Source organism: Homo sapiens, chromosome 6 (assembly GCF_000001405.40).
Source record: "Homo sapiens chromosome 6, GRCh38.p14 Primary Assembly".
Taxonomy (NCBI): Eukaryota; Metazoa; Chordata; class Mammalia; order Primates; family Hominidae; genus Homo; species Homo sapiens.
This window is the reverse complement of record NC_000006.12, coordinates 42747184-42773459: the sequence shown is the minus strand read 5'-3', so window position 1 is coordinate 42773459 and position 26276 is coordinate 42747184. Positions and strand designations below refer to the sequence as shown.

Genomic DNA, 26276 nt, shown 5'->3' with positions numbered 1-26276 from the left:
AACTGCTTGAGCCCAGAAGTTCGAGACCAGCCTGGGCAACATGGCGATGCTTTGTATTTTTTTAATTTTTTTTTTTAATTGCAGCCAGGTGCAGTGGCTCACGACTGTAATCCCAGCACTTTGGGAGGCTGAGGTGGGTGGATCACCTGAGGTCAGGAGTTCAAGACCACCCTGGCCAAAATGGCGAAACCTTGTCTCTACAAAAATACAAAAATTAGCTGGGCATGATGGCGGGTGCCTGTAATCCCAGCTACTCAGGAGGCTGAGGCGGAAGAATCCCTTGAACCCAGGAGGCAGAAGTTGCAGTGAGCCGAGATCGTGCCATTGCACTCCAGCCCGGGCGACAGAGCAAGACTCCGTCTCAAAAAAAAAAAAAAATTGCTCCACTCCCCATCTCCCCTTCTTCTGTGAAGAAGGGTACTTAGGCACCTGGACCTCATTGGGTTATTGGGTAATCATTCTCCTGCTATTCCCCCATGCTATACATGTTAAATATTAAATAAATTGTTATGTCTTTTCTCCTCTTAATCTGTCTACTGCCAGTTCATTTTCAGCAAACTTTCACAGGGCGGAGGTGAAGCTTTCCCTTGGTCCCTACAAAACTCACTTCCAAAATCTCCCTCGAATACCATCCTCCCTCAATGGTAATTCTTTGCCAATTACCATCACCTGAATTCAGGTCCGCCTATTGCTTGGCCTCCCATTGATCTCCTATCCAAATTGCTACAAAGATCATCTTTCTAGATTCTAGAGCTGGTTGTGTCACACCTTCATCAGCACCTCACTGCCTCACTGCCCAGGGATGTTTATTGCAAGTACAGATTCCCAAACCCAAATCCATAACCAGAGAATGGGAATTTCTAGGGCAAGCTGAGAAGTGGTATATGTACTTTCAAGTGGCTCGGTAATTGGCTCCACCTGCCTCCCCAGGCACATCTCGAGCCAGTCCTCTCCTAGTACCCTGTGGTCCCTTTACAGAGAATACCCTGCCCCTGAACAAACAGATCCAGATTTGGACATATCCTTTCCCATCTGCCTGGAATTCCCTTTTCCTGTGGCACAAGTCCACCATTCTTCAAGGCCCAGCTCCAATGCCACCTCCTCTGGGAAGCCTTCTCCCGTCGCCTAACTCAGTGGCTTTCAAACATCTTTGCTTGAGACTCAATCCCAAGAAACACATTTCACATTGTAATTCAGTAGATATATAATTGAAACAAAGGTTTTTGAAAAAAAAATATCTAAACCTACTATGGAGGATGCATCTTGATGTATTTCATTCTATATTGTCTTTATTTTTTCAAATGCTGTTAGGCACTTGGTAAAGGACTTCATGATTCACTAATGGAGGTGACCCCATTTGAAAAACATTGCTTAAAATGAGTGAGTCCCTTCTCTATGCACTCTATACACGCCTCTATTACCCACTGATCACTTTACAATAATGATTTGTTTACAGTCTGCCTTCATCCTCCTCCTCCCCTCCCCAGACAGGCACATACCACAACCAAATCAGCATATCTTGTGACAGTTCCACAGCTGCTGACAAATGCAGAAATGCGAATATTGGAGAATAAATACTTTAATTGCTTTTGCTCGTGTCTAATTTTTTTTTCTTTTCTGATTACAATTCACAGCATAGTCTATTGAAGACTATGCTATTGGAGACTCAGCCTCCCAAGAGGCTGAGCCTGGGAATTATACTAGCTTCAACCCTTCAGTTAACAGCAATTTTTAAAAACAGCCATTGTATCTCAGTACAATTTAACCAAGGTGTTAATTATTCTCTCCCTCAAAAACAAAAACCACATACACGAAAAACCATCAGAAAATATTTTGTCGGGTTGCTAGCCAAGAGAGTGCAAATGTGGGCAAACAAATCTCTTACTTAGATACTTGCAAGCAAATAGTCAAAAACCTCAAAACCCTCCTTCCCTACCACTTCAGACAGGACCCCCCCACCACCCCCCGCCACCCCCACAGGGGTGGGGATGCAGATATAGAGGCCTTTCTATCTGCGCAGCCTGAAGCTCAATTTCTCACTAGGCGGTCCCTAACAACACAAACAAATGAGAAAAGTAGAAAAAACAAAAAGAAACCAGAGCAGCTAAAAAGCATCACGTAATGAAGCCGGGCCGCAAGTTCCGGTGCGAATTGTACCTGTGACGGATGCACGGGCGCAGCGGCGGCCCGCAGGGGGAGGGGTCCTCTTTCTGCAGCACGTGGCGCCAACGACAGGAAACCTGCCTGCAACACCCGCCAACCCTGTACACCGCTCATTTGCAGCATCGTCATTTGTGTGATGCTAATTTGCTCCATGTCCTTGTAAACGTTCTTACAGAGATAAATGAAAATCTACTGCAGGCTTGGGGTGGCCCTGGGCAGGCTAGGAGAGAAGGAGGGACCCAGCAGTCCCCAGGTGTCAGTGAAAAGCTCTGGGAGTCGGAGGACAGAGTAGGCAATCCTGTTCAGAGAGGGGAGGGCCGGGTGCGGTGGCTCACGCCTGTAATCCCAGCACTTTGTAAGGCCGAGGCAGGCGGATCACTTGAGGTCAGGAGTTCGTGGCCAACGTGGTGAAACCCCGTCTCTACTAAAAATACAAAAATTAGCGGGGCGTGGTGGCGGGCACCTGGAATCCCAGCTACACGGTAGGCTGAGGCAGGAGAATCACTTGAACTCGGGAGGTGGAGGCTACAGTGAGTGGAAATTGCGCCACTGCACTCCAGACCGAAAAAAACAAAAACACTGACCGGGTGGGGTGGCTCATGCCTGTAAACCCAGCACTTTGGGAGGCCGAGGCGGGTGGATCACCTGAGGTCAGGAGTTCGAGACCAGCCTGGCCAACATGGTGAAACCCCGTCTGTACTAAAAATACAAAAAATTAGCTGGGTATGGTGGCAGGTGCCTGTAATCCCAGCTACTCTGGAGGCTGAGGGAGAAGAATCGCTTGAACCTGGGAGGTGGAGGTTGCAGTGAGCTGAGATTGCGCCACTGCACTCCAGTCTGGGCAATATGAGCAAGGCTCCGTCTCAAAAAAAAAAAAAAAAAAATAATAATAATAATAAAATTAGCCGGGCATGGTGGCACGTGCCTGTAATCCCAGCTACTCGGGAAGCTGAGGCATGAGGATCGCTTGAACCCGAGAGGCGAAGGTTGCAGTGAGCCGAGATCACGCCTCTGCACTCCAGCCTGGGTGACAGAGCAAGACCCTGTCTTAAAAAACAAAAGAAAACAAAAAACTAAGAGAGGGAAGAACAGGAGATACTTTAAAGCTGGGTTTTAAAGAATGACTAAGAGTTCTCCAAATCACATGGGGAAAGGCAGAAGAGAGCTCCTGGTAGAGGAACCTAAGAGAGTGTATTTGGCAAAGTCCTTAAATATAAATGAGGGGGACAGGCAGATGATGAGGGGCTTTGCAGATCATGGAAGGGTGTGGATGATCCGTAGGCCGCTGCTTTCCACACTGCAGGTCACAATGCAGTAGGCTGTGCAAGTCATGAGACTGTGACCAGCTTTTATAAAAAATGAAAGAACCTAGATCAGAAGATACCAGAATACATACAAGCAGTAAGGGTGTAAACTTGGGAAATCTGTTTCAGTTATAAATGTGTCTGTGTATGTATGTACTTGTTTGTAATATAAGTGTATTTCTTACTGTGGTGGTGATCTTTAAGTTTTTGAACAAAAAAAATTCTAGACAAACAGGACACAATAAGAGAATGCTATGAACAGATTTGAATTCCATGAGGATAAATGTGGTAGCAGTATGGAAGGTCGGTGGGCAGAGGTGAGGGCTCCGAGCACACATGGTATTGTGTTTGTGTGAGGCTTCTCCAGCCCAGACAGTGAGCTTGATGCTCTAGGACAGACTCTGTGTCATGTAGCTCCCAGTCCCGGCACTTGGCACACAGTAGGCACTAAAGGAATGTTTCTTGACCAGATATGGTAACTAACTTCCAAGATGGCCCCTAGCAAGCCTCACCTCCTGGTATTCTCACCTTTGTGCATCCTCCCTCCTACTGTGTACCAGGGTTGGTTTGGGTGACCAATAGGATAGGGCAGAAGCTTCCCATCTTGGGTGCTCTCTGGATCGCTCACTCTGGGAGAAGCTGGCTGCCATGTCATGAGGACACTCAGAGAGTCTATGGACAGACCCATGTGGTGAGGAACTGAAGTCTCCAGCCAATAGCTAATAGCTTAGGCATCCTGCTGGTAGCCAGACCGCCTCACGGGTGAGCTTGGAAACAGATCATCCCCAGCCTACCCTTCACAGTACTGCAGCCCCAGGGGCCAGCTTAACTATAAACTCATGAGAGACCCTGAGACAAAAACACTCAACTAAGCTCTTCTTGCATTCCTGACCCACAGAACTGTGACGTAATAAATGCTTGCTGTTTTAAGCTGCTACATTTTAGGGTGCCTTGTTATATAGTCATAGACAACCAATACACTGGGTTAACATGAAGTCCAGAAACGTTTAAAATATATTAGAGTTACCCATTCTTTACTACTATTTTGTTTTTTCTCAAAGCATCTGTCACATCACATCTTTAGCCTGCTTAGAGAACGACATCTGACCCAACCTGGGCCATTAGGATCCTCTCTTCTGGGTATTAGCACTTGGGACACAGAGACTGGGTCAGCTGTGAGGAGCAGACTACAAGGCTAGAAAGCCTAGGGGGCAATGCCACCATTTTGGAGAAGTGGTAATGGGGCCCATGTAAGTGCACGGCCTCAGAAGGACCAGTGATTGGGGTAGAGGGGAAGAAAGCAGATTCTCACTGGGCATGGAGGGGAGAAGGGAGGAGAAAGTGCCTGATTGATATCTGAGTCCCCTGAGGCCTGGCTGGCTTTCTAGCTTTGGAGTTGGAATATTTCCTTTCCTTACGATTATTCCTCATTCTACCTGCTAATCTGAGCAAGCTCACTTTCTTGCAAACCAAAGATCCTGGAATATGCTGGCCAGCTTCTGTCCAGTGCTGGCCAGAGAAGCAGCTCCTCCTTTTGTGGCAGGCCAAGTATCTCTCCAGAGAGAACAACAACCCACCAAAGATTAAGCTTTAGTATTACTGCTATGTAAAAACTACTATCGATGGGGTAAAAGGTCCTCTCAGACCATCCAACTCCTTTTGCCTTCACTTCACTTTCAGCCAGTAATCTTTTGATTATTAATGGACTTCACTTTTAAAAGTAGTGTTCCGGCCAGCTGACCTAATCATTCCAGTGGTTGGTAAGTTCATGCCCATTATAAATTCACAGATTGGCTTTCGAAGACAAATCATTCTTGAGTAACCTCAATTTCATTTCCACTGCTCTCAGTCAAGCCCTGTCATTTATCCAGTGAAACATTACAATAGCCTCCCAATGGCACTTCCCCTACTCCAATCCATTCTCTTCACCTTCTTCTAAAACACAAATCTGATGCCTCACTCCCTGCTCTAAACCATCTGACAGGTCCCCAAGCACCCTCAGAATGACTGGCATCTCCAGCCCCATCTTCCACCACGCCTCCTCCATGCTGCTCCAGACCACTCTCCACTCTTGCCATGCGGTGTTATTCCCAAGTTTCTCAATTGGTGTCCACCCAGCTCTGCCTGTGTTCTTCCTGTTGCCTGGTGTTCCTTTCCTATGGACACCTCCCCTGCCTTCCCACTTTTCCCACCCTCCTGTTTCCTCTGTACTTCCATAGAACTTCCTTCCTCCTTGATAACACACAGTATGGTCAGCTTGACTAATAATTACTTGTCCTGTCTGTCCCTGGATTGTAAGCCTCAAGGAGATGAAGACTACACTTTGTTCATTTTTATACTTCCCTTCTCCCCAGGGCCAACTACAGTAGCTTGCATCAATATGTTAAGCTAACATTTCTTGCGTCTTTACCATATCAAGCCACCTGGCTGGTGTTGCAGGTAGCAGACACTCAACAAACACCCACTGGATTAAAGTCAGTCAGGGTGGCATGGACAAGTGTTCCCTGGACCTAATGATGTTCAGATGAGATGCCCATCTATCATCTGTGTTTGCAGAGCTGAGACAGCAGAGTTAGACTCATGGTGGCATCCATGGTGAGGCAATGAATGAATCTCAGCCTAGCCTTTTACAAAAAAACTTTTACATGAGGCATAATTTCTCATTTAAAATTAAATGACATTAATTAATAATTAAATGACATAAATAGAAAACAAAAAAAAGCACTGGAATTAATAAGCAAACAGACAAATCCACACACATACAACACAGTTTTTCCTCTTTTTAAACAATTAATTAAGTTGACATTCCTCTCTCCTCTTTTCTTTCTCTTTCTTTCTTTGAGACAGAGGCTTAACTCTGTCGCCCAGGCTGGAGTGCAGTGGCACAATCTTGGCTCACTACAACCTCTGCCTCCCAGGTTCAATCTATTCTTCTTCTTTTTTTTTTTTTTTTGAGATGGAGTCTCACTCTGTTGCCCAGGCTGGAGTACAGTGGCGCCATCTCAGCTCACTGCAAGCTCCGCCTTCCGGGTTCACGCCATTCTCCTGCCTCAGCCTCGCGAGTAGCTGGGACTACAGACGCCTGCCACCACGCCCGGCTAATTTTTTGTATTTTTAGTAGAGACGAGGTTTCACTGTGTTAGCCAGGATGGTCTCGATCTCCTGACCTCATGATCCGCCCGCCTTGGCCTCCCAAAGTGCTGGGATTACAGGTGTGAGCCACGGCACCCGGCACAATCAATTCTTCTGTTTCAGACTCCCGAGTAGCTCGGATTACTGGTGCTCACCACCACACCCAGCTAATTTTTGTATTTTTAGCAGAGATGGGGTTTCACCATGTTGGCCAGGCTGGTCTCAAACTGCTAACCTCAAGTGATCCACCCGCTCGGCCTCCCAAAGTGCTATTACAGGCGTGACCCACTGTGCCAGGCCTCTTTCTCTTTCTACAATTGCAATTATGACTCACAAGCACATTACAGGATGCTAAGTTTAGATGAACAAATATTAGAGAATGGCATGGGAGTGGATTCCCCAGTTAGCCAGTTTGCGTGTTTCAGAGCTAAGGCATGTGGGTCAATCCACAGGTGACTTTATTGTAGTTCTTTCAAAAGAGTCAGCATCTACACATGAAGGTAGAAGCAGAATCTGGTCCTGATTTTCCCACTGACGATCCTTGTCCTGGCTCCAACTCTTCATCTCTCTCTCTTACCCCCAAGATTTGTGGAAAAGCCCCAGCTCTGGGCAAACTTGAGACTGATGACACAATCCTAAAGAACTTGACTACTCAGATAATATCAGAGAACTTTACAAAGTCACTCCTAAAGCAATTGATGAAAAAGTACCGGAAGGCTGGGCATGGTGGCTCACATCTGCATTCCCAGCACTTTGGGAAGCTAAGGTGGATGGATAGCTTGAGCCCAGGAGTTCGAGACCAGCCTGGGCAAAATCCTGTCTCTACCAGAAATACAAAAATTAGCCAGTCTTATAACCTGGTCTCAAAAGAAATAAATAGAAAACAAAAACAAAAAGCACTGGAATTAGTAGCAAACAAACAAATCCCCACATATACAATATAGTTTTTCCTCTTTTTAAACGATTTCTACACACTAAGTTTCTATCTTCCACAGGCTATATAATCAATCATTATATATTGCCTCAAATCAATGCTCACCCCTACAGGTTCTTAAAAAAAAAGCAGCAAATAATATTGCCTTGATCCCTGACAGCCTGTAGAGCTACCAACAAGAGAGCACCAGGAATCGCCCACTTGTACGATACATGAAGTCCTACAGTGGCTCTGGCTTTCTGGGGAACTCACACCTTTATCAAGAGCCTATATTTTCCTTGGCTTATGTTTGCAACACACATTTCACTCAAGCTTCACCTTTCACTTCATCATCATTCTTCAGATGAAAAGAGTTTCTATTACCTGAAGGGAATTACTCTGTGAAGACAAAGAACAGAAAAAAATAGCATGCATGCCATGTTTAAACACATACATGGAGCAGGGGGCGTGGCTTGCTCACTAGCTCAATGACTGTCTCCCTCCCCACAAGCCTCCTAGGATGTACTTGAATTTGCGCCTCAGCAAATTTCAAATTACTACATGTCATGGACCACTGGGATCTCTCCCAGAGAGAACTCCCAATTGTCAGAGCTACAAATCCCTGGCAACATAGCCCTGTTACGCATTCACATTCCTAAATGTTTCCTGCCATTATTCCGTCCTCCAAATCAGCCTCTTTCACTGTTTAGCAATAATAATGCAACTTTGTAATAGTTACTTTGTAAAAGCAAACTTTCATTATTATTACCAACTACAGAAGGGAAAAGTCTCTGCAGCACAAATAGGTTCTCACTTGACAAGACATTTCACAGGAGTTGGCTCAGCATGCATAGTTCCTTATTGCTACAGCGTTGTAATGACACAAAGACAGCTCTTTATCCAATTCAACAAACACTTCTGAGCCCCATAAAGTGCAAGGCATCATTTATTCACAAAACGTTTTTCTAACATTTTTAAAACATAACCTAGGCCGGGCGTGGTCGCTCATGCCTGTAATCCCAGCACTTTGGGAGGTTGAGGCGGGTGGATCACAAGGTCAGGAGATCAAGACCATCCTGGCTAATACGGTAAAATCCCGTCTCTACTAAAAATACAAAAACTTAGCCAGGCGTGGTGGCACACGCCTGTAGTACCAGTTACTCGGGAGGCTGAGGCAGGAGAATGGCATGAACCCGGGAGGCAGAGCTTGCAAGTGAGCTGAGATCGCACCACTGCATTCCAGCCTGGGTGACAAAGCAAGACTCCGTCTCAAAAAAACAAACAAACAAAAGACCCCATAACCTATAAAAAGAATACAACCTATCTCTCAAGTCGTGTATGTGTATATATAGAATACAGTTACATAATATAAATCTATATATGCAACACAAAACTCTTTTTTTTTTTTTTAAGACAGAGTCTTACTCTGCTGCCCAGGTGCAATCATGGCTCACTGCAGCCTCAACTTCCCAGGCTCAGGTGATCCTCCAACCTCAGCCTCTGGAGTAGCTGGGACTACAGGCACGTGCCACCACACCTGGCTAATTTTTTTTATTTTTGTGGAGACGAGGTTACGCCATGTTGCCTAGGCTGGTCTTGAACTCCTAGGCTCAAGCAATCCTCCCACCCACCTCCGCCTCCCAAAGTGCTGGGATTACAGGTGTGGGCCACTGTGCCCGACAGACATTTTTGTTTTTTTTTTTTCGGAAACAAAGTCTTGCTCTGTCGCCCAGGCTGGAGTACAGTGGCATGATCTTGGCTCACTGCAACCTCTGCCTCCCAGGTTCAAGTGATTCTCCTGCCTCAGCCTCCCGAGTAGCTGGGACTACAGGCGCGTGCCACCACACCCGGCTAATTTTTGTATTTTTAGTAGAGACAGGGTTTCACCATGTTGGCCAGGCTGGTCTTGAACTCCTGACCTCAGGTGATCTGCCCGCCTCGGCCTCCCAAAGTGCTGGGATTACAGGTGTGAGCCACTGTGCCCAGCCTTGGCAGACATTTAATATGCTATTTTCTTTTGTCTTTTTTTTTTTTTTTTAATGCACTAAATGCATTTCATGACCTCACTGGCTTGGTACCTGCATTTTGAAAACGCTCGTTTTTTTTGTTTGTTTTTTGTTTTTTTCTGAGACAGAGTCTCACTCTGTTGCTCAGGCTGGAGTGCAGTGGTGTAATCTTGGCTCACTGCAACCTCCACCTCCCGGGTTGAAGTGATTCTCTTGCCTTAGCCTCCCAAGTACCTGGGATTACAGGCACATGCCACCATGCCCAGCTAATTTTTACATTTTTAGTAGAGATGGGGTTTCACCATGTCAGCCAGGCTGGTCTTGAACTCCTGACCTCAAGTGATCCGCTTGCCTTAGCCTCCCAAAGTGCTGAAATTACAGGTGTGAGCCACCGCACCCAGCTGAAAACACTGGTTTGTAGTATTTCAAGAAAAGCGGCACATCATAGCAAACAATAAAATCCTACCTAAAGAAGATAACCTTAAAAATTCTAGGCAGAAGAATAATTTTTTGCTTCTTATTTAACTTTCAACTGCCAGGACATTTTAAAAGTATTTGAACTCAGTGAATGAGCATTTATATAAAAGCTTTTAAACGATCTCCAAATCTTTATCCTTTATCCTGAAGAACCTGAGACAGAAAAAGTAATCCTCTTCCCAATCTGTATTAAAGACTTACATCTGTGTCTTTTAAGAAATCTTAAACCTGTTCTTGCTTCAAATGATTACCCTCCTGGCAAGATTACCATGAAGATTAAATGAGATAATATAAGTGAAGTACCTCGTGGTTCCTGCTATGATTCAGGTTATTGGGTTATCTTTTCTTGAAAATGCTTGATCTGTTTGACCTTTGGGCTCATTCACCCAGAGAATCTGTTCTACTGGACAATAAGGGGCAGAGGCTCCCTCGAGGAGTTTACTAGCTCTATCAGTAAGAATAAATATCATTACAATCTAAGGTTCAAGAGTGCCAGGCTATTTCATTTATTCATTCAATAGATTTTTTTTTTTTTTTGAGACAGAGTCTCACTCTGTTACCCAAGCTGGAGTGCAGTGGGTATGATCACGGCTCACAGCAGCCTCGACCTCCCAGGCTCAAGCAATCCTCTGCCTCAGTCACCTGGGTAGCTGGGACTACAGGCGTGTACCACCACACCAGGCTTAAGTTATTTTACTGTTAGTAGAGACGAAGTATCATTGTTGCCCAGGCTGGTCTTGAACTCCTAGGCTCAAGGAATAAGTGCTGGGATTATAGGTGTGTCTACCACACCCAGCTAGATAATTATTGGGTGCCTCACATGCCAGGCATGATGCCATAAACTGGGATTATGGGGTGTAAAAAATAGGAGACACAACCACATCCCTCCAGGAACTTACAATTAAATACTTAGACTTTGTGAAGACACCTCATATACCACTAATATTACATAACACACAAGTGTTTTACATGCCCTTATCTGTAAAGTGAGATAAGATTAGATTAGTGGTTCCCAAAAGTGAAGATTTCACAGATAGCGAAGCTTTCATAAAAAAAATGCTTTAAAAAAAGTTTTTAAAACTGTCATTGAAATCACTATATATCTTTATCTTTTCCTTTCATTACAAGCCAGTTAAATTTTGTCCTGGCATTAAAGGAACCCTCAGAGTTTGCCCAGCTCTGTCTTTCTAGGATTCTTTGGGGCCTTTTTGTTTTGTTTTTTCCTGGCATTATTTACATGTAAATTCTGCCCAACTATTCCCCAGCATTGCAGAAAGGCCAGAGACCTATTCATAAGGGAATCAATAAAGGGCCCTTTCCAAGAAAGTCATAGAGTACAAAGCAAATTCGGCTCCACCACTGACCTTAAGGACTGGGAACTGCAAAAGAACAAAAGTATAAAAGGTCGTGGTGACTGGAAGGCAGAAGGACCTGGCATTTTTGAGGAGCTACTGTAGGCCTGGCCCAATACTTGGTACTTTTCCATACTGTAAGCACTTTATTTAACATCACGATAATCCTGAAAGAAGTACGTATTTCTTTTTCTTTCTTTTTTTTTTTTGAGACAAGGTCACCCAGGATAGAGTGCAGTGATGCAATCATGGCTCGCTGAAGCCTCGACCTCCTGGGCTCAAGTCATCCTCCGATCTCAGCCTTCTGTGTAGCTAGGACTACAGGCCTGTGCCACCATGTCTCGCTATTTTTTTTGGTATTTTTTATAGAGATGGCAGGGTCTCACCATGTTGTCCAGGCTGGTCTTGAACTCCTGGGCTCAAGTGATCCTCCTGCCTCAGCCTCCCAAAGTTCTGGGACTACAAGTATGAGCCACTGTGCCCAGCCAAGAAGTAAATATTTCTTTCTTTTTTAAAATTATCTCATGCAACAGATGAAAGAAGTATATATTTCTTTATCTGCACTTTGTAGTTGAAAGAAACCAAGCTCAGAGAGGTTAAATATCATTTCCAATGTCACAGAGCTAGTATTGCACAACTAATCAGAATTAATTAATTAATTTATTTATTGCACTCCAGCTCTGCTGCCCAGGCTGGATTGCAGTGGTGCAACCTCAGCTCACTGCAACCTCCACCTCCCAAGTTCAAGAGATCCTCCACCTCCCAAGTAGCTGGGATTACAGGTGCGTGCCACCATGCCCAGCTAATTTTTCTACTTTTAGTAGAGATGGGGGTTTCACCACGTTGGCCAGGCTGGTCTTGAACTCCTGGCCTCAGGTGATCCGCCAGCCTCAGCCTCCCAAACTGCTGGGATTACAGGCGTGAGCCACCGGTGCCCTATCAACTAATCAGAATTTAAACTCAGATCTGTTCACTTATTAGCACCACTACATCTCACTGATAGGAAGAGACGTGAGAGAACAGGTGCAGAAAAGTTTTAAGAGATTTAAGTACCTTTTTTTTTATTTGAGACAGAGTCTCACTCTATCACCCAGGCTGAAATGCAGTGGCGTGATCAGGCTGAAATGCAGTGGCGTGATCTCGGCTGACTGCAACCTCCACCTCCCAGGTTCAAGCAATTCTCGTGCCTCAGCCTCCCAAGTAGCTGGGATTACAGGCGCCAGCCAGCATGCCCAGCTAATTTTAGTACTTTTGGTAGAGATCGGGTTTCGCCATGTTGGCTAGGCTGGTCTCCAACTCCTGGCGTCAAGTGATCCACCTGCCTCTACCTCCCAAATTGCTGGGATTATAGATGGGAGCCCCAAGCCTGGTCTTATGTACCTTTTGACAAGAAAGTAATTTAAAAGCAGTCGGACACAGTGGCTCATGCCTGTAATCCCAGCTCTCTGGGAGGCTGAGATGAGCAGATTGCTTGAGCCCAGGAGTTCGAGACCAGCCTGGGCAACATAGCAAGACCTTGCCTCTAATAATAATAATAATAGTAATAATAATAATAATGTTGAAACCACATTCAAAAGGCAATTTATACAGCTGACAATATATTACTCTCTCTTAGAGTCAACAGCTAAGGCACCTACCTCTTTAACTAGGACTCTTTCCTGATCAGCTAAGCAAATATCCCTTGCCCCTGGACTCCTTTCCCTTACTCTAGAAATGAGAACAAGTCCCCTGACCCACTTTTTTTTTTTTTTTTAGTAGTAGAGATGGGGTTTCTTCATGTTGGTCAGGCTGGTCTCGAACTCCTGACCTCAGGTGATCCGCGTGCCTCGGCCTCCCAATTTTTTTTTGTTTTGAGATGGAGTTTTGCTCTTGTTGCCCAGGCTGGAGTGCAATGGTGCAATCTCAGCTCACCGCAACCTCAGCTCACCGCAACCTCCGCCTCCCAGGTTCAGTGATTCTCCTGCCTCAGCCTCCTGAGTAGCTGGGATTACAGGTGTGCACCATCATGCCTGGCTAATTTTTGCATTTTTAGTACAGACGGGCTTTCACCATGTTAGTCAGGCCGGTCTCGAACTCCTGACCTCAGGTGATCCACCCGCCCCGGCCTCCCAAAGTGCTGGGATTACAGGGTTAAGCCACCACACCTGGCCATAAATCATCTCTTTAACAAGCACTTACTGTGTACCTCCTGTGTCCCAGGTGCTGTGTGAGGGACACAGCATGGAATAAAACACATCCTTGCTTGGAGAAGCTCAAGCTGCAGAAGAGATACCTGTAAACAGATACTGACTTCACACACTCATAATCATCTAACCAGAACCAACAGAGGGCGAAACCCAGATAGGCTTCCCAGAAGAGGAGGAATTTATAAAACAGATCTTGTAGGAGGCAAGTGCCTTGTTATGCAGAGAAGATGAGGCATAGGATCACAGAGGAACCCAGGAGCAAGCAGCATGTGTAAAGGGACCTACCAGCTTGCTCCAAACCTTCTCCTCCAGGTTCACTCTGTCAGGTACCAAGATCACCACAGACCCAGTTCCACAAACTGGAACTTCTACAACTCTTGCTTCCAGTTAATCACTGAGTCCTGTCTAGTCTCCTTCCAAATCTCTCAGACACTCCCCCTTCTTTCCTCTATCTTTACTCCCATCATCGCAGCCCAATGCCATTTCTCTCTGGCTCCTGCAATGGCCTCCAAACTAACATCTGTTTATTTTTGTCCATGTAAATCCACTTCACACAGAGCATCCAGACTGATCCTTTGTTAAAGGGGGAAAAAAGGAAAAATAATGTGATGCTCTCATCATCCTGCTTAAGCCCTTTGGCAGCTCCAGTGCCTTCAAGATTAAGCTGAAACTTCCTAACAGGATTTACAAAGCCCTTGGTGGGCTGGCCCCTGCTCACCTCTCTAACTTCATCTCTGATCTCCACTTCCAGCTTTGAAGTGCTTCAGTTCCTGACACAGTGACTTATAACCCTGGTTGCCCATGAGAACCACCTGGGGAGCTTTAAGAAATACTGATGCCAAGGCCCCACTCCCAGAGATTCAGATTTATTCAAGGGGCATTAGGATGCTGTAAAGCCTCCACGAGATATCAATGAGCAGCTAGGGTTGAGAACATTGCTTTAGCCTGACACGTCTCTGTCTCATGTCCAGGTTTGTTGCACATGACCTGTCTGTTGCTGGAAGCACTGGAGCTCTCCTAGCCTCCTGGCCAGAAGGCAGAGACTTTTTGGTCTCTCTCGTTCACTGCTGTAGTCCCAACACCTAGAAAAGTGCCTAGAACATAGTGGGTACTCCATAAATACCTGCAGAAAGAAAGAATGAATATGTGACTCTGCTTTCACCCTTCACCTGGATAGATGCCACTCAATTCTTTTTTCTTTTTTTTTTTTTTTTGGACCCCCCGACTCCATCATAAGGACCCAGCTTATATTTCCCAAAAGATAGTCCTGATTCTCCTGGTCTGAGATAGGTTACTCTGTATAATTTCAGCACTCCAGATTTCCATTGTAGTGTAAATCGTACCACACTGTAATTATCTGTATCTCTTACTTAGCTTCTGAGCTCTGAGGGAGCCCAGTCTGTGTGTTCACCAATACACCTGCACCATCTGGCAAAGTGCCTTAAAAAGTGCAGCACGAATACATGGAAGTGAACAGACACAGTGTGCTGGGTGACAGCAGACCTTGGTGTGGCTGGAGTAGGGCGCTGGTGGGACATGAGGCTGGTGAGGTACACCGCGGGCCAGATGCAAGAGGCCCAGCATTCACACTAAGGAGTCTGAACTGTATGAGACAATAGAGAGCCAGCAGAGGTTTTAAGTGACACAATCGGCTTGCATTTTAGGGCAATAACTGGCTACGGTATAGAGAACTGGGGGATTCAGGGAAGCCCAAGGGTAACGAGACCAGATGGGAAACTGTAACAATAGCCCAGGGAGAAGAAGATGAGGAAGGAGCCAAACCTGAAGAGAGGGAGCCAGGCCAGAGAGACAGAGAGAGAGATCAGAGAGCATTAACAGTATTTGTCAACTGGGTGGACCAGTGAGAGAGAAGGAGGTGCTGTGGTTGGCTCTGATCCCCCGTTTGGAAGACTATGGATTTGGTGTCATGAGCATGGTCAGATGTAGTCTCATGATTACACAGGCAGTGTCAGAAGCCTGAACTCAGGAGCCAGACTGCCTCCATTCAAATCTTAGCTCTAGTTGCTTCTTGGCCTTTTGGCTAAGACCACGTACAAATCTTAACTCTACGACTTAGCTAGCTCTCAGGCCTGGGGAAGTCAGCTTCACTTCAGTTCTTCATCTGTTAAATGAGAATAATAGTAGTATGTACATCACAGGGATGTTGTGAAGATTCAATGAGGTAAAACATGTAAATAGCCATTTCCTGGCACATAGCAAATGCCACATAAGAGTTAACAGGCTGGGCGCGGTGGCTCATGCCTGTAATCCCAGCAATTTGGGAGGCCGAGGCAGACAGATCACTTGAGGCCAGGAGTTCGAGATCTTTCTGGCCAACATGGCAAAACCCCATCTCTACTAAAAATACAAAAATTAGCCGGGCATGGTGGCCAGAGCCTGTAATCCCAGCACTATGGGAGGCCGAGGCAGGTGGATCACGAAGTCAGGAGATCGAGACCATCCTGGCTAACAGGGTGAAACCCCGTCTCTAGTAAAAATACAAAAAATTAGCTGGGGCGTTGTGGCAGGCGCCTATAGTCTCAGCTACTCAGGAGGCTGAGGCAGGAGAATGGGGTGAACCTGGGAGGCGGAGCTTGCAGTGAGCTGAGATTGCTCCATTGCACTCCAGCCTGGGTGACAGAGGGAGACTCCATCTCAAAAAAAAAAAGAGTTAAAAAAAAACTATTTATATAGAGCATGGTAGATTATCTGCACAAAGATGGCTGCCAACAGTTCTTTCCATCCCTCTAAGTGACTCTTGCTCCATCCATCAAAAAAAGCAGTCCATTTCTCCTTCCCTTGAATCTGGGCTGGCTTTGTGATATACTCTGACCATATGAATGCAATAGAAGTGTCACTGTACCAATTCCAGCCAAAGCCACAGGAGGCCTGGTGGCATCTGCTTTTGCCCCCTTGGAAGCCAGCCACTGTGAAAAGAAGCTTGAACTCCACTACTGAATAACAAGAGCTCAAAGAGAGAGGGAGAGAGGGAGGGTGGGGGGGGGGGAGAGGGAGAGAGAGAGAGAGAGAGAGAGAGAGAGCGCGCGCGCGAGAGCCAAGCGAGAGACAGCGCAAGCATGTGCACATGGGGAGAAAAAGCCAGGTGCCCCAGCCCACAGCCAGCACCAAGGCCCCAGATGTGTGAGTGAAGCCATCTTGGAGGCTCCAGTACCAGTTGAACCCACAGAATTGTGAGAAATTATTGCTGTGTAAGCCAGTAAGCAGTAAGTTTTGGGGTGAGTTGTTACCCAACAATCAGTAACTCAGACTTACGTATAGAAAAAAAAAAAGATCTCTGGGGCAATAAAAACCTCATTTTGGGCCATCCTAAACATGAGGTGTTTGGGATAGTAGATAGTTACATGGAAACATCTAGAAAGCAGTTGGAAGATCAGGTCTGGGCTCAAGAGAGAGGCAGAGGGAGGAGCTGGGGATCTGAGAGTCAATCAGCACATGAACAGGACTTGGCACCCTGGGAGAAGGTAAGCTTGCCAAAGGAGGTGAGAGGAACAAGAAAAGAAATAGAATTCTGGCCTCACTTATATTTAAGGGATGGACACAGAGAAGTTTATCAGGGATGAATAAAGAACCAAGAAAGAACCAGGGAGATAAATTCCTGCTGTGAGAAGAAGGGGTAATCAAATACTTAGGGCTACAAAGAGCGATGCATTTGAAAATTAGGAAGGAATGGGAATAGGGCAATTTCCGTTTCAAATACAATGGCAGGGGCAGAAGTCGGATAAGTGGCTAAGGAGGGAATGACGATTGAGAAACTGGACACAGCAAATGTAGACTATTGTTTTAAAAGTCTATTGTTAGGGGAAGAAAGTTAGAACATCACTTGGGTGGATGATAGGACAAAAGGTAAATTGTTTTAAGTTGAGGAAACTTGCTTGCTGAGAGGAGATGCCAAAGAAAAGAGAGATTAAAAATCCTGAAGAAAGAGGTGACTGGGCCGGGCGCGGTGGCTCACGCCTGTAATCCTAACACTTTGGGAGGCCGAGATGGGTGGATTTCCTGAGCTCAGGAGTTCAAGACCAACCTGGGCAACACGGTGAAACCCCATCTCTACTAAAATACAAAAAAAAAATTAGCCGGGCGTGGCGGCGTGCGCCTGTAATCCCAGCTACTTGGGATGCTGAAGCAGGAGAATCGCTTGAACCCAGGAGGCGGAGGTTGCAGTGAGCTGAGATCACGCCATTGCACTCCAGCCTGGGCAACAGAGCAAGACTCCATCTCAAAAAAAAAAAAAAAAGAAAGAGGTGACTGGTGGCTCGAGGTCCCAGGCAATGGAAGGAAGAGGACAGAGAACCCTGGTGGGAGCTTTGCCCTGAGTGAGAAGGAGAGAGACAAAGAGGTGGGTCTTCACAGATAAGTTAGAAGTGAGAGGGGAGGCATGTGGAGGTCCTATCTGGCCACCTCTTTTCTGTGAAGAGTAGGTAAGGTCATCTGCTGACAGGCAGTGAGGGTCTTGGGGAGAATGGTGTTCACTTCTAAAGAGTTTTATAGGAAATGCATGAGGGGCTGCAGGAGTCAAGCCCAGACTCTTCAGAGACACCACCTTCCAGGGATACCCCAGCTCCTGAGGAGTAGGCTCTTCACATGAGCTTTTCCCCTCTGACCTGCCCCAAATCCCATTGTCTTCTCTTGAGCTGGTCTCCTGCTTAGATTGCCCCACCTGGGAAGCTCTCATTCATTCCCAACTTCATTCTCCAAGTATTTGCTCAACATCCACACCATACCCAGCCCCATTTCTCTGGACAACACTCTCCCTATTCCCCCAGGGTTTTCAAACCTTCTGCACACTTTCCAGACCCCCTACCTCCACCCTTTTCTCCTCATACTCAGCATGAGACCTCACTGTCTGCTTTATAGAGGACGCAGAAACTATCAGAGTCATCTACCAACTACCATACATTTTCCTGCACCTGTACTCCCCTTTTCCTTTTCTATAAAGAAATGCTGATGCGGCATTTTAAAATTGCAGTTTAACTTAGGGAGGTCTTGATCAGCTGTTTTTGCTTTTGTTTAGAGACAGGGTCTCGTTTTGTTGCCCAGGCTGAAGTGCAGTGGCACGATCATGGCTCACTGCAGCCCCAACTCCTGGGATCAAGCGAGCTTCCTACCTCAGCCTCCTGAATAGCTGCAACTATAGGTGCATGCCACCATGCCCAGACAATTTTTTAAAACATTTTTTTGTAGAGACAGGGTCTCACTATGTTGCCCAGGCTGGTCTCAAACTCTTAGCCTCAAGCAATCCTTTTGCCCCAGCCTTCCAAAGTGCTGGCATTACAGGCATGAACTGCCATGCCCAGCCTTGATCAGCACATTTTAAATGCAATAAATAGAATAGAAAATAGGGTCCACTGCACATAGTAAGAGTATTTATTGTTTCTTAAAACATCTGTTTCAATTATGACACATCTGTTACTATGAGTTGACGTCAAAAAGTCTATGTATGGCACGGTGGCTCACACCTGTAATCCCAGCACTTTGGGAGGCCGAGATGGGCGGATCACAAGGTCAGGAGATCCAGACCATCCTGACTAACACAGTGAAACCCCGTCTCTACTAAAAATACAAAAAAATTAGCCAGGCGTGGTGGCGGGCGCCTGTAGTCCCAGCTACTCGGGAGGCTGAGACAGGAGAATGGCATGAACTCGGGAGGTGGAGCTTGCAGTGAGCCCAGATTGTGCCACTACACTCCAGCCTGGGCAACAGAGCAAGACTCCGTCTCAAAAAAAAAAAAAAAGTTTCTGTATGTTAGCAAATTCTCATTAAAAACTTCAAACACGGCCTGTAATCCCAGCACTTTGGGAAGTGCTCATGCCTTCCCATGAAGTGTAGTGGCTCATGCCTGTAATCCCAGCACTTTGGGAAGTGCTCATGCCTTCCCATGAAGTGTAGTGGCTCATGCCTGTAATCCCAGCACTTTGGGAAGTGCTCATGCCTTCCCATGAAGTGTAGTGGCTCATGCCTGTAATCCCAGCACTTTGGGAAGTGCTCATGCCTTCTCATGAAGTGTAGGGGCTCGTGCCTGTAATCCCAGCACTTTGGGAAGCTGAGGCGGGCAGATCACCTAAGGTCAGGAGTTCAAGACCAGCCTGGCCAACATGGTGAAACCCCATCTCTACTAAAAATACAAAAATTAGCTGGGTGTGGTGGCGCACACCTGTAATCCCAGCTACTCAGGAGGCTGAGGAAGGAGAATCACTTGAACCCAGGAGGCGGGGGTTGCACTGAGCCAAGGTCGTGCCACCGCACTCCAGCCTTGGTGACAGAGTGAGACCCTGTCTGAAAAAAAACAAACAAGTTCAAACAACAGTGCAATAGAGAGGATGTCCCTCCTCCTATCTATAACTACTCCTTGCACCTGTGTTTTAAGTACCATTTCCTCCAGCTTTTCCAGGACCCTTACGTGCTTTATGTCTTCTCTCTTGTTAATTCCTACTCATGCTTTCCCGTTCAGCTCAACCCCCTCTGAAGCTTTCCATGACCATCCCAACAAGGCAACCCCCACCACTAGTGGGCTCCTTGTAACTCTTTCTTTTATAGCAATGATTGGCCAAGTGTAGTAGCTCATGCCTGTAATCCCAGCACTTTGGAAGGCCGAGGCAGGAGGATCCCTTGAAGCCAAGAGTTCAAGACCAGACTGGGCAACACAGCAAGACCCTGTCTCTACAAAAACATTTAAAAATCAGGCCAGGCATGGTGGCTCATGCCTGTAATCCTAGCACCTTGGGAGGGTGAGGTGGATGGATCACCTGAGGTCAGGAGTTCGAGACCAGCCTGGCCAACATGGTGAAACCAGTCTCTACTAAAAATACAAAAAATTAGCCAGGCATGGTGGCAAGTGCCTGTCGTCCCAGCTACTCGGCAGGCTGAGGCAGCAGAATCACTTGAACTTGGGAGGCGGAGGTTGCAGTGAGCCGAGATTGCACCACTGCACTCTAGCCTGGGTGACAGAGCAAAACTCCGTACCCCCCCAACCAAAAAAAAAAAAAAAAAAAAAAAGTCAGCTGGGGGCAGGGCACTGTGGCTCACACCTGTAATCCCAGCCCTTTGGGAAGCAGAGGCAGGTGGATCACCTAAGGTCAGGAGTTGGAGACTAGCTGGCCAACATGGCAAAACTCTGTTTCTACTAAAAATACAAAAATTAGCCACACATGGTGGTGTGTGCCTGTAATCCCAGCTACTAAGGAGGCTGGGGCAGGATAATTGCTTGAACCTGGGAGGTGGAGGCTGCAGTGAGTCAACATGGCGCCACTGCACTCCAGCCTGGGAAACAGTGAGACTCAATCTAAAAAAAAAAATTAGCTGGGCACGGTGGCATGCATCTGTAGTCCCAGCTACTCAGGAGGCTGAAATGGGAGAATTGCTTGAGCCCAGGAGTTTGAGGCTGCAGTGAGCTATAATTATGCCACTGCACTCCAGCTTGGGTGAGAGAGAGACCCAGTCTCAGCAAGCAAAGAACACATTTTACATGTTTTTGTGACTATTTGCCCAAATTAGGCCTTCTTAAGGAGGACAGGGACGATGTCTGTTTTTATCCACCTTGGCAGTCTTAGGGCCTCCCTGGCTCAGTGCTGGGCACAGTTAGTGCTTAATAAACAGATGTTTAGATAAATAAACACGTGCCAGCCTATGTGCTAGACGTTAAGTGTACAATGATGAAAAAAGTTTCAGAAGGTCAAGGGCGTTGAGGCAGAGGAGAGCGCCAGGGGCAAAGGCAGAAGGAAAAGGCTGCTCCTGTCCTGCTTCCCAACAACAGGACCTGCCTGCACAACTGTCACCTTTCACTGTCTTCCTGCCAGAAAGTAGCCAAGGTAGGAAGATTTGCCTAACATTTGATAATTTTGATGTGCACAGCTCTTTAATGAATGCTTTACATCCCATATATAGTCAAGACTTGCTGAAAGATGAATAGGTGATGCTTCTTTCTGGCATCAAACTACTAGAAAAAGGGGCTTGGCCGGGCGCGGTGACTCATGCCTGTAATCCCAGCACTTTGGGAAGCTGAGGCGGGCGGATCATCTGAGGTCAGGAGTTCAAGACCAGCCTGACCAACATGGAGAAACCCCGTCTCTACTAAAAATACAAAATTAGCCCGGCATGGTGGCGCATGCCTATAATCCCAGCCTCTTGGGAGGCTGAGGCAGGAAAATCGCTTGAACCCAGGAGGCGGGGGTTGCGGTGAGCCAAGATCATGCCACTGCACTCCAGCCTGGGCAACAAGGGCAAAACTCCGTCTCAAAAAAAAAAAAAAAAAAAAGAAAAGAAAGAAAAAGGGTCCTTTTATTTGCCTGGGTGTGGCTGGTATCTTCCACCAGTGCAGGGTCCCTGACAAACTCCAGAGAACACCGAAGGGCCTATTCCTTTATTGTTTACCATACCTAAAGACTGTTTTCCTTTGCTTAAATGCTTTCACTACTTACTTCTTGAGGCATGTAACTACAATCATGAGATTCCCTTTGTAACATTAAAAGATCAAATAAATACAACAGACGTTTAAAATTTAACAAATACTGTATAGAGATGCAACCAGCAAAATGCAGACTGTGGGAAACTCTACTGAACAAATGACCAAGCTGCTTCAACAAAACAATTTAGAGAAAAAGGAACCCACACAGTGAAAGTGATTTAAGGCTCTCCACCCAGGACACGGGTCCTCCCACGCCTGAGGCCAATGCTGCCAGGACCTTGGGGTTGGAGGGGGACTTGGCTGACCACATCTTTCAAATAAAGCTGTTTGTCTAACTAAAAAAAAAAAAAAGTGATTTAAGGGACACAATAACTAAATGCAGTGTATGGAACTTGTTTGGATCCTTATTCAAATAAAATAACTTTAAAAAAAGGAAACTGGGCAAGGGGAGGGGGAGCATTAGGACAAATACCTAATGCATACGGGGCTTAAAACCTAGATAACAGGTTGATAGGTGCAGCAAACCACCATGGCACATGTATACCGATGTAACAAAACTGCACATTCTGCACATGCATCCCAGAACTTAAAGTATTAAAAAAAAAAAAAAAAAAAAAAAAAAAAAAAGGCCGGGCGCGGTGGCTCACGCCTGTAATCCCAGCACTTTGGGAGGCTGAGGCAGGCGGATCATCTCAGGTCAGGAGTTCAAGACCAGCCTGGCCCAACATGGTGAAACCCCATCTGTACTAAAAATACAAAAAATTAGCCAGGCATGGTGGTGGGCACCTGTAATCCCAGCTACTCAGGAGGCTGAGGCATGAGAATCACTTGAACCCAGGAGGTGGAGGTTGCAGTAAGCCGAGATCGCGCCATTGCACTCCAGCCTGGGCGACAGAGCAAGACGTCGTCTTGAGAAAAAAGCAAACGTATATTATGGGATAATCAGATGTGAATATAGACTGGCAATCTGCTATTGAGAAAATATTTTCTATGCTTTTTTGGAGTGTGGTGACGGCAATGTGGCTGTCTTAAAAGGGAAGTGGCCAGGCGTGGGGGCTCACACCTGTAGTCCCAGCACTTCCAGGGGCCGAGGTGGGCAGATCACTTGAGCCCAAGAGTTTAAGACCAGCCTGGACAACACAGCAAAACCCTGTCTTTGCAAAAAAAAATACCAAATTTAGCTGGGAGTGGTGGTGCACACCTGTAGTGCCAGCTACTCAGGAGGCTAAGGTGGAAGGATCACTTCAGCCTGGGAGGTCAAGACTACAGTAAGCTGTGATTGCACCACTGCACTTTAGCCTAGGTGACAGAGTGAGACCCTGTCTCAATTTAAAAAAAAAGGGCCCAGGCACGGTGGCTCACACCTGTAATCCCAGAACCTTGGGAGGCAGAGGTGGGCAGAACATGAGGTCAGGAGTTCGAGACCAGCCTGGTCAACATAGTGAAACCCCGCCTCTACTAAAACTATATATATTAAAAAAAATTAGCCGGGCGTGGTGGTGGGCACCTGTAATCCTAGCTACTTGGGAGCCTGAGGCAGGAGAATCACTTGAACCTGGGAGGCAGAGGTTGCACAGAGCTGAGATCGTGCCACTGCACTCTGGCCTGGGCAACAGAGCGAGACTCTATCTCAAAAAAAAAAAAAAGGAACTCCCAATCTTTTAGAGGTATATAGTGAAATATTTATAGACAATAAAATATGAAATAATATAATATAAGGGATGGGCCAAAAAATAATCAGGGTGAGAGGTGGGGAAGTGACTAGGGCTTTACAGGAAACAAGATTCTCAGTTGGTAACTGTTTTTTAAAAAGTTATTATTATTTTTATTGATATATAATAATTGTACATATTTATGAGGTACATGTGATATTTTGATACATGCATATAATATGTAGTGGTCAAATTAGAATAATTGGGATATCTATTACTTCAAACATTTATCACTTCTTTGTGTTGGGAACATTTCAAATCCTTTCTTCTAGCTATTTTGAAATGTACAATACATTATTGTTAACTCGAATTAGGCTACTGTGCTATCTGACACTAGAACTTATTCCCTCTATCTAACTTGTGCCTTTGTGCCCTTTAACCAATCTCACTTCATCTCCCTCCACTTCCCAGCCTCTGGTAACTATCATTCTACACTCCAACTCCATATGATCAACTTTTTCAGTTCCCACATACGAGTGAGAACATGTGATATTTTTCTTTCTGTTCCTGGCTTATTTACTTAACATCAGTTGGCAGTTGTTGAAGCTGGGTGATGGGTATGTGAGTCCTTGGAACACTATTCTAATACCCTCTCCATGTTATATATGTTGGAAATTTTCAAAAAGTTAAAAGGGGGATCTAACAAATAGAACCATAAAGTATCTAAACTGTTGTTAAATAAACGGTAAAGTCCATAATACGTTAGAATTCTTTCATTTTTCAAGATGTCTACAAGAGAGCAGTACCTTGATTCACAAGCCCTTTGAGATATCATTGAAAGTAGGATGCAGAACTCAGAGCTGCTTGCCTTTTGCTACATTTCCCCCGTAATGCATTCCCCACTCTCCTTCCATCAAAACAGGCACTTACCTCTGACAAGCTGGGATATATTTCAAAGATGCATGCTGAATCCACTGCCCTCAAATGGCAGAGAGAGGATGCAAACACAGCCGGGCAATGCCAGCCATTTCGCAGCCTTCCTACTGTGTTTGAACTCAGAAACAGCTTTATCTCCATTTCTTGACCACATACCTCACAGCCTGCAGCTGTGCAGGGGGGCTGTAAAGAACTGTCCAGCCAATGCTTCACAATGACCGTATCACTCACTGACCCCTTTCCACTACTCCTCACATCAGTCTTTGAAACTGCCCCTAACACACCGGGTCACCTGGGTGACCTGTCAAGCTCTGTTTTTAACTGTTTCCTTTTCTTGAAAGTTCGAACTAACCAACTTCAAGTATTTAGAAACTTCCCAAGTCTACTGGATTGTAGCAAAAACCTGTTGGTAGACAGAAATGAAGTTCTTGAAAGGGTTTAATAACATTCAATTCCACTTGGGATACAGCCAACACTTACAACACCCATAGATTCACTATGCCTAATACCGAAATGTTATCTCACTCCAGCTGCAACCTCCAAGTCCAATAAACCTTCTTTAGCTACAAACGTTCTTAATTTGAGTGAGACAGGTTCAACCTGAAAAACTTAAAAGGTCAGGTTGTTTTTTTCTAGAAAAATAAATCTTCTCTAAAGCTTCTTTGCTTAAATCAACATTTCATAAAATAAAGCAGCTATTGCAATTCCTCCACGACTTGGACAATATAACTAGCTTTCTTGTCCACCAGCTTTCAGACCCACAGTTTTGTGAAATAAACCTGCTTTTCTGGAAAAAAAAAAAAAAAAAAAAAGGGCCAGGCACAGTGGCTCATGCCTGTAATCCCGGCACTATGGGAGGCCGAGGCGGGCGCATCACCTGAGGTCGGGAGTTCGAGACGAGCCTGACCAACATGGAGAAACCCCGTCTCTACTAAAAATACAAAATTAGCCGGACATGGTGGCGCATGCCTGTAGTCCCAGCTACTCGGGAGGCTGAGGCAGGAGAATCACTTGAACTCGGGAGGCGGATAGCGGTGAGCCGAGATCGCGCCATTGCACTCCAGCCTGGGCAACAACAGCATAACTCCGTCTCAAAAAAAAAAAAAAAAAACAAAATAAAACAAAAAAGCAAAAACAGAAGCCTCACCTAATCTGCCCATAAAACAAGACTAGTGAAAACGATGACTATGCACAAGAGTAAGCACCATTGTTTTTCGGCACCCCCTTTTCCATCGGGTGCACGCAGGCACGCGGACACACAAGCCTCTCCCCTGCCCCCGCGCCCCGCCTGCGCGGGGAATCTGCCACACGGTATGAACTGTGCTCTCAGCGGAGAAATACTCTGGCCCAGCAATTTATGTGTGTTTTGTTTGTTTTAAGTGGGAAGGAAAGGAAGAGAGTGGGGCGTGAAAATGGGAGATCAGTTTTAACTCAGATTTAATTCAATGGTTCGCGTTTCCTCCCATCTTTCTCTGCATCAAAATGCAGGTAGATCGGTGAAATTTCAAGTTTCTTGGGTCGTTAAATACCCCAATTTAAACGATGGAGGCTGGGAACTGGGGATATAAGGAGGAAACCTAGGGTTGGAAGGGCGGGCAGGGTTAAAGAGGTTCGGGAGCTCCGCAGATCTGAGCGAAGCATGCGAGGCTGCCGCGCCCGGGCAGCGGCTGCGTCTCGGGTTCTCGCCCTGCCCGCTGCCTCGGGTTTTTGCCAGTGACTGCGCCGTCTTGGCT

General features: G+C 46.0%; 1 protein-coding gene and 1 pseudogene across 6 annotated transcripts in view, besides 3 other annotated features; both read right to left on the bottom strand.

Moving 5' to 3' along the window:
• Window positions 1-26276, bottom strand: part of BICRAL (BICRA like chromatin remodeling complex associated protein) — a 122218-nt gene that overhangs the window by 95097 nt on the left and 845 nt on the right. For 2 of the 6 annotated variants that reach the window (XM_047418542.1, XM_047418543.1), the window contains exons 2-3: window positions 24538-24946; window positions 13526-13619 (exon numbers count right to left, since the gene is read on the bottom strand). The exons of 2 other annotated variants lie outside the window; for them this stretch is intronic. In XM_047418542.1, coding sequence (XP_047274498.1) covers window positions 13526-13569 — 44 coding nt within the window. In that variant the 5' untranslated portion in view covers window positions 13570-13619; window positions 24538-24946. The remainder of the gene's footprint in view (window positions 1-13525; window positions 13620-24537; window positions 24947-26276) is intronic. 2 more of the 6 variants (XM_047418544.1, XM_047418545.1) reach the window with 1 other exon arrangement.
• Window positions 1962-2161: an enhancer, noted in NCBI's record as "active region_24570". NCBI's record gives its function as "activates an Ori minimal core promoter by ATAC-STARR-seq in GM12878 lymphoblastoid cells {active_cell/tissue: GM12878}" and the evidence as "EXISTENCE:reporter gene assay evidence [ECO:0000049][PMID:35858748]".
• Window positions 2632-2681: a silencer, noted in NCBI's record as "silent region_17207". NCBI's record gives its function as "represses an Ori minimal core promoter by ATAC-STARR-seq in GM12878 lymphoblastoid cells {active_cell/tissue: GM12878}" and the evidence as "EXISTENCE:reporter gene assay evidence [ECO:0000049][PMID:35858748]".
• Window positions 16538-20505, bottom strand: LOC124901226 (putative uncharacterized protein encoded by LINC00269; annotated as a pseudogene).
• Window positions 25865-25914: an enhancer, noted in NCBI's record as "active region_24569". NCBI's record gives its function as "activates an Ori minimal core promoter by ATAC-STARR-seq in GM12878 lymphoblastoid cells {active_cell/tissue: GM12878}" and the evidence as "EXISTENCE:reporter gene assay evidence [ECO:0000049][PMID:35858748]".